Genomic DNA, 12,284 nt, shown 5'->3' with positions numbered 1-12,284 from the left:
CAGCCACATGTGTGAGCCATTTGGAAGTTCATCATCCAGTGCTTATCAAGCCTTCAGGTGACTGCAGCTCTGGCTGGCATCCTGACCAGAGCCTCATGAGAGACCCCAAGACAAAGCCATCCAACTCATGCTGCTCCTGAATTTTTAACCCAGAGAAACTGCAAGATGATAAATGTTTACTGCTAATTTGGGGTATAATCTATGACACAGCAATAGGTGACTAATATGCTCAGCTTCATCCTAAGAATATCTGTAAATCCATGAGTTTGGTGAATAAGTAATATATGCATTTTTAATATGCATTAAGAGAAATAATTAGCTATCAAAATAAAAAGAAGGTGGGCACAGTGGCTCATGCCTATAATCTCAGCACTTTGGGAAGCCAAGGTAGGAGGATTGCTTGAGCCCAGGAGTTGGAGATCAGCTTGGACAATGTAGGGAGACCTCCCCATCTCTACAAAAACAATAATAAAACCAAAAAAATGAGCCAGGTATGATGGCACGTGTTTGTAGTCCCAGCTGCTCAGGAGGCTGAGGTGGGAGGATTGCTTGAGTCTGGGAGTTCGAGACTGCAGCGAGCCATGAAGGCTTCACTGCACTCCAGGCTCGGTGACAGAGAGAGACCCTGTCTCAAAAGAAAAGAAAAAAAAAACAATTTGAACAGAAATAAATAAAAATAAACTGTTGGTATATTCTTCAAATCCAATTGCATATCATTAGTGAAAATGAACCATACTCCAGAAAATGCTACCCACAGCTTATTACTGTGTCTTTCTCTGTAATTGTTCTGTTTTTCTCCTACAAACTCTTGTTACTAAGGTAGCAATGCATGGCAAACTATTACTATTCTTGCTTCAAAGTGCCCACTGCACAGATTTGGAGGAGCAAGCTAATTATGTTGTATAATTAATTTGCAGTTCTTATGTGCTTCTGGGGAAAGGAGAGCACCTCCGCTGTCTGCAGGAAAGTCATTCTGAGAACTAAGCAATGGCTTTTCCCGGGATTTCATCATGATTTTATTTGGGGAAAGGAGATCTCATGGGTGTCTGCAAGAAGAAGGGTAAAAAAATAGCTTCGAGAATTGCTTGGTGGGGGGACAGGAGCCTCTATTTTTAGGCCTCTGAAAAATCAGCCAAGCCCTGGATTTGGGACACAGCTGCAGATGCTCAGACTATGGATGAAAGGGGAGAAATGGGAGCAGACACCAGAAATGTGGTCTGCCTTGAGCCAAATGCTTTGAGACGGAGAAAGGTTTGCTTGTCTGACTTCAATATGGGCCACCATGGCTGCACGCTCCCGTGGGACCTCCTGTCTCCTTGGTGGCACCCACTGCATTTGTAATTTCTCAGTTGCTGCCACGATGTAGAAGCTTGGCTTAAATCTTGTCCCCACTGTTTACTAACTGGGTGGCCTTGGCTAAGTCACTTAACCTTCCTGTTCTTCAGATCCCAGGGCCTGTACCCCAGGGACCCTGATTCAGGAACATGCATTTTTACCAAGCACCCTAAGTAGAGGTTTCTAGAATGGTCCGTCCCCATGGGCCCTTGTTAACTTTGCTAATAATTAGAAAACCACCCTATAACCTTCCTGTTCTTCAGATTCCAGGGCTTGTACCCCAGAAACCCTGACTCAGGAACATGTATTTTTTTACCAAGCACCCTAAGTGGAGGCTCTGGAATGGTCTGTTCCCATGGGCCCTTGTTAACTTTACTAAGAATTAGAAAACTGTCCTAGGAGTTGGAAGACTTCTTTTCTACTCTTCTTTCTTTTTTAAATAAATGGTGTGATTCCAGTCATGCCAATTAACTGCTCTAAGCCTCATTGTTCTCATTTGCAGAGTGGAGTCAAGAATTATTACATTGTCTATTCCAAAAGGCAATGTGAAAGTTAAATAACATGCAGGATATGACGATGTTGTGTGAACACTAAGATGAGTTAGATGGATTCGTTTGTTTGTTTGACTGAGATATTATGAGCATCTTATTAGACTCTAGAAATGTAGGGATCTGAAGTCATGGTTTCGGTCTCATGGACAAGATTAGCACCAAGGTTCAATTTTTGCACAAAAGAAATGCACAAATGCACTGAATGCACACCACCATCTACCATTTCATGCTCATGGCAGACATCTCTAATCAAGCACAGCCATCTATTTGTTTGAATCAAGAGGAAACCTCCCAGTCCTCAAAACAGCACTCCAGGGAGCCACTGTCATTTGATTGGAGTTGACTTACAATATGGAGCTTAGTTATTATCCTAGACTTGGAGGAATAAACACACGACAAATAACCAACGTCTTCTCAAAAAGCACTGCTTACTTATCTCTGTTTCTTATTCCCTTCCATCCCATGCCTTTGGCCATAGACAGTGGGCAAAGAACAGGAAACAGTGAATGGGTCTTTGCATCTCTCTGTTCAAAGGTGAATTCTGGGAGTAGAATTCACATTCTAGAACCACGTAGGCCCAGAGTCTTCCTGTGGAAGGCTCTAATTGCAATCATAGCAGATAAACTTTGGCCACCTTCCAGAGCTGGGCTTAGGCATTTAGGTCAATATAGGATCTTCAGAATTCCCTAGTGACCACAGGAACCCCTGACCTACTATCTGATGCATCCATTGAATGGGAGTTACATCTGTGTAACTCCCATGTATGGTAAAATCTAGAGCCAGAATAACAAATACCCTTCTCATGCCCATGGCAGGCATCACTAATCAATCATGGCATTCTTTGCCATAGACTTTAGGCATGACCTCCTTGGAGTTCTTTTCAACATGGTCTTCAACATAAGTAGTAAGCAACTGAGTGGTATCGCAATTAGCTAGAACGGTCTATTTGCCATTCTTGTGAAATTAACTGTGTGTTTCTTTAACAGGAATAACAATCAGGAACTGTTCTCTCTTTTTTGTTACCCAAACTAGCCAAGCTGTGTATCCCTGAAAAACATTCTCTGCAATCCTTTTTCTGCCTCTCCCACAGCATCAGCTTGTGATCCTGGTATTGTCTATTAATGGGACTGCCTTTCGCATTTCCACTAATGTCTTAAGGGTAGGGAGAATATTCTATTCATCTCTATATCCTGGTGTGCAGAGCCTAGCATATAGGAGGTGTCAAGGGATTTTTTATGAACCAAATCCTCTGGAAATGGAGATAATGCATTTGAAGATGTGAAATAAAATAATATATGTTAAAGTGCTTGCCAACTGTAAGTTGTCACACAAATCACAAAAAGTTTCAACTTCAATGAACAAAAACACTTCTTCTTCAAGATATTGCCAAACTGAACACTGGCCAGACTTTCTGGTTAACCTTGACCAGCCTTGGATAGAGTCAGTCAGTTTTTTTTTTTTTTTTTTGGCCATCAAGCTGAATGCAGGTTTGGAATACTGACTTGGGCGCTAGGGGAGATAAATGAGCAAAAACCATGACCTCATCTTTCAGTGGAGAGGGAGAGGACGTCTAAGGAGAGAGACAGGAGCCAGGAGACCAGAGACTTCCTCCAAAGGCAGCTGAGTCTGGAGGGTACATTGCCTGGACAGCCAACATGAGTTATCCCCTGAAGCCCAGGGCACTGCCCAGAAAAGAGCGGGGAACCCACAAGAAATTGTAGCAATAACACTCTGAAAATATTTAGCAGCACAATCAAAGGTAAAAGGCCCCTGGGAAACATAAAAAAGAAGATCAATACTCGTGTTAGCCTCTCTGAGAGGTGGACATGTAGCAGGCAGGGATGAAAAATGTTCACCATCTGGAAATAAAAATGCCAGGAATGTACTTTGGCACGCATGAGGCTTCTTGAAACAGCCCATGGTCAAGGGGGTAGCTTGTTTTTAGGTGCAAGTGCTGGTACAGAGAGGACAATTCATATTATTAGGTTGGCGCAGAAGTAATTGCAGTTTTTGCAAATTAAAACTCCAAAAATCATAATTACTTCTGCACCAACCTAGTTAGAGATGGACAATTCTTTTCTTTTTTCTTTTTTCTTTGAGACGGAGTCTCGCTCTATCACCCAGGCTGGAGTCAGTGGCGCAATCTTGGCTCACTGCAACCTCTGCTTCCTGGGCTCAAGCAATTCTCCTGCCTCAGCCTCCCGAGTAGCTGGGACTACAGGTGCCTGCCACCACACCCAGCTAATGTTTTTTTTTTTGTATTTTTAGTAGAGACGGGGTTTCACTGTGTTAGCCAGGATGGTCTCGATCTCCTGACCTCGTAATCTGCCCGCCTCAGCCTCCCAAAGTGCTAGGATTACAGGCATGAGCCACTGCGCCCGGCCGAGATGGACAATTCTTTAAGTGAACGGGGAGAAAGAACCAAAGACATGGAATCTTGCTCCAACCACAGGGTCTTTTGTGGTAGTGGTGGTGGCAGAGGGCTGGGTAGGATGAATTCTCCTTTTCTCTGCTCCATCCTGGAAATCAAGATGCCAGTCTAATTCCTGGGAAGTGCAAGCACGTTTCCTAATCACTGGCCGAATCCTGCCCATTGAAATTCTTGGGGTGCAACCACTCACCCATTCTTCTAGATGTCAAAGGATGTTAGGTCTTAATTACCCTCTGTGTCTCCCAGGTTCTCCGCTGCTGCCCAAAATATTGGGGGTGGAGGAAGCTTTGGAGCTAGGGATGAGGAAGCATGGATTGGAGCTCGGCTCTGCCCCGATGAGCAACCCTTCATCCTTGCTTGTCCAGGGTTTCTTCTGCTGGAACACGACAGGGCTGGACCAGTTCCTCTGTTAGTGCAAGTCTCTTCTGGGACTGGAATCAGTGGGACTTCATGGTGTCCCAGTCCTCTGACATCTGGGAATGTTGGTAGTTCGGACTAGAGTGGTGGCCGTAGAAAGACGGGGACATGTGTTTGGATTTGAGACATATTGAAAAGTGGAGTTGAGAGGATGGATTGGATATGGGGGCAAGGAAGGAGGAAGCAGCCTGAGAAACCAGGAGAGTTGTTGTCTCATTTCCTAGGATTGGCAGATAGCAGGGGATGCTGTTGGGTAGTGGTGGTGGTGGGTAGGAAAAGAAATCATTCTGTTTGGCCATGTTAAATCTGAGATGTCTACTGGATGGAGGCAAGGGAGGAGTTGGCAGGGAGTTGGATAGATGGATTTGGAGTTTAAGGTCAAGGTTGTAAGTATGAACCGGTCAACGGATATTGGTACTGTTTAAATCCATGGGAACTAATGAAGGCATGGAGGGCGTGAGTCTAGCTGGAAGAGAGGATACAGTCCAGGATGGAGCCTGGGACCCTCCAGGGTTTAAAGGTTGAAAAGGGGTGGGTCGTAGAGCTAGTAATGAATGAGGGAGAGTTACAGGGTGGGGAATGAGAAGGGAAGAGTGTGATTGGATGAAAGCACACGAGGGGTCATAGGAGTGTGTGAGCTTAGCTTGAATTTGATAGCAGGTTTTTTTTTTGTTTTGTTTGTTTTAGGAGGAGCAGGAGAGACATGGTTTGGAGGCCACATTGAGGATGAGGAAAGACATCTTTTGCATCTATAGCTCCTAAAGTACAAGAAGTGCGAAAGGAAGGCTGTCCTTGTTCAACGAGGCTACAGGAAAAGAAGAGGCCTTAGAGGAGAGCTGAGCTTCAGTTCGGGCAAGAAGGTGAAGACGATGTTTGAGAAGTTGCACAAATTGGGAAGAAATTAGGAAGTATGTTGATGTAAGATCTCAGCTGACCACAAATGAAACATGGGGACAACAGGTTCTCAGCTGACCACACATGAAACATAAGTTATGAGGCATTGTCTACTACATCCTGATATCAACCTTGTGGAATAGGTATCACTATGCCCATCTTACAGATGACAAAAAGAAGGCTCAGAGAGGTTCAGTAACTTTCCCAAAGCCACACAGACATCGATGACCGTGCTAGGGCTCAAACCCTGGTCCTCATGACTAGAGAGCCCAGGCTTTTAAAAATGAAATGAGTACATTTCAATACAATACAATGAAAAATCGCTGTAGTACAAAACTGCCAAATAACCTAGAGGAAACCACCTTAACCTGTATCTAAACACAAAGAAAAAATAAATTGACCAGATGAGACACCTACCTATGTAGTTCATGATAAATCCCTGGCCCTTTCCAAAGATGAGGCCAGCAGGGTCCGAATGGAACTGGATGGTTAAGTCTGGCGTGGAGGAGTACAGTTTCTGGGGGCCACTGTTCCCAAGGTACTGCCCCAAGATGTGGGGCATGACCTCGTCGCCATCGTAGATGGTCAAGATGTCACTGTTGCTCAGATTCAGGCTTGGAGGGCAGAGAAGAGGGAGAGTCATGTGAAATAGAGAATGGGCATTCAATAAACCCTTGATTAACTTTTTCAGGCAATACAAAATTTGTTAAGTGTGTATGTGTCAGGCTCCAGGCTATGTGTCTTAACCCCAAGCTGAGGGTAAGATTGACATAGACTGCAAATGTGACACAAAGATTTGTAAGTCATTTTTTTTTTGAGACAGAGTCTCACTCTGTCACCCAGGCTAGAGTGCAGTGGCACTCTCAGCTCGCTGCAATCTCTGCCTTCCAGGTTCAAGCAATTCTCCTGTCTCAGCCTCCCGAGTAGCTGGGACTACAGGTGCATGCTGCTATGTCTGGCTAATTTTTTTTGTATTTAGTAGAGATGGGGTTTCACCGTGTTGCCCAGGCTGGTCTCCAAATCCTGAGCTCAGGCAATCTGCCCACCTCGGCCTCCCAATGTGCTAGGATTACAGGCGTGAGTCACTGTGCCCGGCCGTCAGTTGGGTTTTTGAAGACACATTGATGCAATGGTCTTGGCTGCATGGGACTCATTGCAAAGTCAAATGCTGCATTGTAAGAAGAATCACCTTCAAAACTCCCATTATTGGCAACCATTTCTTAGGTGACATCTCTGTGTTAGGCACCAGGCTACAGGCTGGGGCTATGACCTGCATCTTTCATTCTTCTTCAGTGCAGAACATGCTGACAGCTTGCTAATTACAACTTGCATTTTTATATAAGGTGAAATGATCTTTCCATTTATCACGGGGCAAATTCCTCAGAGTCAACTGAATGATCCATTATGTTTAAGGGGTAGGGCAGAGGTGGGATGGAGGCACCTTACTTATGAGATATGCTCAAACCTGTCACCATTCATACTGTTAAAGGATGACACATTTTCAAAGACTCCAATGCAAGAAAGTACCTTGACACTAAATAATTAAACCACAGTGGATAGTTAATAATCCAGAAATCACTTCACTATACCACAGAAACATGTGCCATCTCAGACATGCTAGATAAAATTGATCTCTAATTGAAAGAATGCCAGATAATTCACCTTTGGCTTCATCAATCATGGACAGATACAAACTCACATTTCTTTCTTTCCTTTCTTCTTTCCCTCTCTCTGTCTTCTTTCTCTCTCATGTCTTTCTCCTTTTCTTGTCTCCTTCTCCTTAATGTTCTTTTTTGTTTGTTTTTTTGAGCATCTACTATGAGCCAGGCACTGTGCTGAGCTCAGAAGGGTCACAGAGTAGTGATCTATTTAGATTTGTAAGCCAGGGATTGTGGCAGGAGTTATAACCAAAGTAAGGACAGAGAAAGTAAGGACAAACTCAGATTAGGGGCATCATGGAAGCATTCCTGCAGTAGGTGATGCTTCTTGCTCTGAAACCTCAAGAAAGAGTAGGAGACCTCGAGGCAGATAAACACAGAGTAGGGAGTCCAGGTGCAGTGGCTTACACCTGTAATCCCAGCACTTTTGGAGGCTGAGGTGGGAGGATTGCTTGAGGCCAGGAGTTCAAGACCATTCTGGGCAACAAAGAGAGACCCTGTCTCTACAAAAAAAAAAAAAAAAAGAAAAAAAAAAAGTCCGGGCGTGGTGGCTCACGCCTATAATCCCAGCACTTTGGGAGGCCGAGGCAGGAGGATCACGAGGTCAAGAAATCGAAACCATTCTGGCCAACATGGTGAAACCCCGTCTCTACTAAAAAAAGAAATTAGCTGGGCGTGGTGGCAGATGCCTGTAGTTCCAGCTACTCGGGAGGCTGAGGCAGGAGAATTGCTTGAACCTGGGAGGTGGAGGTTGAAGTGAGCTGAGATTGTGCCACTGCACTCCAGCCTGGGCAAAGAAGCGAGACCCTGTCTCAAAAAAAATTTTTTTTTTTTGGTGTGGTGGTGCACCTCTGTAGTCCTAGCTTCTCAGGAGGCTGAGGCAGGAGGATTGCTTGAGCCCAGAAGTTTGAGGCTACAGTGAGCTATGATTGTGCCACTGTACTCCAGCCTGGGCAATAGAGCAAGAACTCATCTCACAAAACAAAACAAAACAAAAGAAAACAATGAATGATGGGGAGAAGGCAGAGGGAAGAAAGGAGTAAGACCATGGTTCCTGAAAGAATTTTTCCAGTGGTCAGTGTGCCTGGGGTATGGGGATAGGCATAGAAGCCTGCAGAGTTCTGCAGGGATTAGATCATGAAGGGCTTAAAGAGCCAAGCTTCAACTTTTGGACATCATCTTGCAGGAGACGGGGAGACACTGAAGGGTTTTATACGGGAACTGTATGACTGAGCAATTCAATGCCAGAGGAGAGGTGTTCTGGGAAATGGCCCTGAGCAGAGTTCCTGAAACTGATGCAGACTGACAGTGGCCCTCCCTGCTGATAGCTTCATCCAATGGCCAACAGTGGTGTTTGCTGCTAGTCCGGGAGTTGGGAGGTGAGGTGGCAACTACCCATGTTGGTGTTTCAGGTGGTCAGAACAAAACAACAGAAACACAAAGAAAGGTATTGAAAGTTTGCTTCTGGGAGGGCAGGGATTGTATTTTATTCACCCCAATACCTTCCACCATACCTCTCGTAGTTCCTCATGTAAAGTTGCTCCAAGGGGTGGCTTAGGAAGATTTTGATTGCCGCCATAATTTTCACCAGTTTCCCCTATGCTACTCCCAAAACATCTTCAAATAAAAGCTACCTGCTTGCTTTGCACACATGTCTTCAAGACAAAATCCCCAGACTCCTCCTACCCCCCTGACAGTTTTTAACCAGATTGAAGCCCCTAAACCCCTGCTGTATTGAAATTCTGGAGTTGCCACTTGTTCTTGCACACAGTAGGTGCTCAATAAATGCTAAGGTATGAAAGAGCCTCCCAGAGAGTCTACTTGACAGCAAAAATAGTGGGACTGATGTCAGCTTTGGACCTGTAGTAGGGGAGGGCCTCTTTAGCTCTACGTACCATGAAAACATCAATTGTTCATGAAAGTGCCGGATTAGACTAGTGTGAAACATGGTAGATGGCAGATATATTCCTTAAGCCGACTTCACAGCTGATCCGCTGGTAACAGTAGTTTACAGACAATGCACATCTTGGCTTTATTCTTTCACTTAAATGGCCAAAACGCAGTAGCAGCATCTTCAAGGGTGAAAATAGCTTTCATTTTAAAACCATACGGCAACTCTTTGTTCTCCATAAAATAGGATGGAGCAATGTGCAGGGAAGAGCACACTGGCTTGGAAATCAGAAAGCTTTGGTTTGATTCTCAGCTTTGTCACTTTCATGGAAGGCATGTGATTTTTCTGAAATTTCTTGTCTGTGAATCAGCCTTAATATTCCTCGTCTATGTCATGAGCTCTGGGGATGAGGTGAGGCAGGCAGAAGGTCTGGATTCAAATTCCAGCTTCAGCATTAGCACCTGGGCAAGCTCGGTGATGTCATTTGAATGTTATGTTGTTATATTCCACTTTCATTTTTGGCATCATCATCGTTACCATCACCATCATCACTATCGTCATCATCATCATCACCACCATCATCCTTCTTTGGATTTCTGTTTATGCCAAATGACATCAGATGATTTATGTCAGTGGTTTTCAACTAGGGGCAGTTTTCCTCACAGGTGACATTTGGCAATGTCTGGAAACATATTTTTCCTAACTAGGTGGGTACCATGGGTGAGTGGAGGCCAGGGATGCTGTTAAACATACTACAGTGCACAAGACAGCCCCTCAACCCAAAAAAGTATCTAGTCCAAAATGTCAACAGGGCTAAACTCGAGAAACCATGACTTATATAAATGCACATTGTAAACGGTGTGCAACAGACCATTAAATGCAATTTCTTCTGTTGTTCTGAAATTTTAGCAGTGTCTCCCTAAGCTAAGAACAAGACAATAGGTGCAGTGGATTTCCACTTTCCAAAGAGAGATACTTGGCTGTTGATTGCATTTGGATTCTCCAGATGCAGAGATCAAGCAAACATACAAATGCCTTTTGAAGTCTGGCTTGTCTGGGAGGCCATCCTAGGCAGCACTGGTGGGGAAATGAGACAAGAAGAAGGGAAGGACTCAACGAAGAGGGGATTGATGAGCAGGTTTCACTGTGCATTTTGGGTTCAGTCCTGCAGGAATTTTAGAGATGGTGCAGAACACATCCATAGGGAGAAGGAGCTGGGGTATTTATCCTCCAGTTTCCATCCTTTATTGACTGAGGGATGCTCCTGGATGTGTTGAGTCCCTAGAACTTCTGGCTTGCCCATGTGACCACATGGCATCAGAGAAATGCTGGAGAAGTGGGAAGGGCCTTGCAGTAGGAAGTCATTATGGGCACATGGTGGCAAGTATTGCACGGCTTAGACAGAGTACCAATGGCATCATCTACTAACATCGATGCAGCTATTCCAGTCTGAGCCCTTCTTCCCACCTCTAGCTTATATAAGAGAAGGAAAAGAAGGCACTGGCCATTGAGGAGGCTGGCAGGAAGGACTGCCTTGAGGGGAGTGGTCACTGTGGGGCATCATAGGAGGGAGGGTCGAATGTGTATCACCCTCACATTAAGCCTAGTGAGGAGGGCTTCAAGGGAACTCTTGGTGACTTGGCAGGTGTCTTTCTTTTGTGGCTTGGATAACAGTAGCTGGATTTGATGCTCACCAAAAGAAATGATAAAATCAGACTGGGGATGCCTGCCTGCCTCTGGTCAGAGCAAGGAGAATAAAAGCAGATATTGACAGTGAGCATCCCATCACTGATGACAGTAGGGATATGATCTATGTTTCCTGGGTCTAGTTGTGAACCTTGCAGGCAGAAGCCAACTATAGGTCTCCTTAAAAGTGGCTTCCTACTGAAAGGGTGATAGAACCCCAGCAAAAGGGAAAGTTAAGAGCAGCTGTGCTCAGGAGACTTTCACACATTTAATATCCTATTAAAGACAGAAAAAAAATCAGCATTCTATATATTCTATAACATAACAGTGTAGCCAAGTTAGAGTCTCCTATTCCCTTACCTCCCATGCCCTTTGCAAAATTCCCAGCCAGAGGAGCACAGTTGAGGGAGGGATGAAGTTTCAAAATGAATGATACTTAGGGTTATAAGATTTTCAGACTGGACTGCACTTATTGTGACCAGAAGACCTATGAAAACGCAGCTTTCACCCAGAGGAAAAAAATAATATAGGATGTGCCTGAAGGGTCACTGGGAGAAATAATCAAGTTACTCTCTGCCTCATTCTTCTGAATCTTTTTTGACAGACTGGTTCCAATTATGTACACAGAGTTTGGCAATTTAGTTTTTTCCCCTCAATGCAAAGAGGAGCTTACATTTTCACTTGCTCATCCATGTATTTACCAAGTGCATCTAGCATCCCTGGAATCGGACCTTTGTAAGCAACCGAGATGAAAATGTGTTGAGTTCACTGCAGGGAGAGCCACAGGGCAGAGTGTGGTTTTCCGCTGAGGTCTGAATTGAGATGTCAGCTAGATACGATCCAAGGAGGCGCTAGGAAAACGGGATGGCAGTTTGACTCCAGGATGAAGGGGAGATGGAGAGATGCTGGCAGGCAGGCAGGCTTGGTCTGACTGTGACTGGGAGTGGCAGGATCCCTTCTGGGAGGATCCTGTAGGACCACAAAGCTTCCCAAGACCAGACCCTGCCCACTCTGGCCCTTCTCAGGTGCCAGAGTGAAAGGCTTTCCACAGGCACAAAGTGTGAGCTCCTGGCAGAAGATCTCAGCTCCCATCTCCCCCTCTACATCCACCTCTTTCTTCTTGGTCACTGTCGCAGGCTATCCTCAGACCATCATCACCTTTCTCTTGGGCAGTTGGACAGCACCTCGGTGGTTTCCTGACTTCATCCTCACCTGGCCCTGATACTCCTCCCCTTAGCAGCCAGATGAATCTTTCCAGAAGGTAAATCAGATCTGCTCCCTCAACAGATCAATGAATAAGCAAAATACGGTCTATTTGTGCAGCGGAGTTATTATTCAGCCATAAAAAGGAATGCAGCACTGGCCCACGCCGCAGCACAGGTGAACCTCGGAAACATGACATGCAGTGAAAGAAGCCAGCC

General features: G+C 45.0%; 1 protein-coding gene across 6 annotated transcripts in view; it reads right to left on the bottom strand.

Annotated features, from left to right (window-relative positions):
* The window catches only part of SEZ6L (seizure related 6 homolog like), a 214,135-nt gene that overhangs the window by 36,919 nt on the left and 164,932 nt on the right, over positions 1-12,284 (bottom strand). For all 6 annotated transcript variants that reach the window (NM_021115.5, NM_001184773.2, NM_001184774.2 and 3 more), the window contains exon 10: positions 6,046-6,242. In NM_021115.5, coding sequence (NP_066938.2) covers positions 6,046-6,242 — 197 coding nt within the window. The remainder of the gene's footprint in view (positions 1-6,045; positions 6,243-12,284) is intronic.

The sequence above is a fragment of the Homo sapiens genome, chromosome 22 (assembly GCF_000001405.40).
Source record: "Homo sapiens chromosome 22, GRCh38.p14 Primary Assembly".
Lineage (NCBI taxonomy): Eukaryota > Metazoa > Chordata > Mammalia > Primates > Hominidae > Homo > Homo sapiens.
This window is presented reverse-complemented; position numbering and strand designations above follow the sequence as displayed.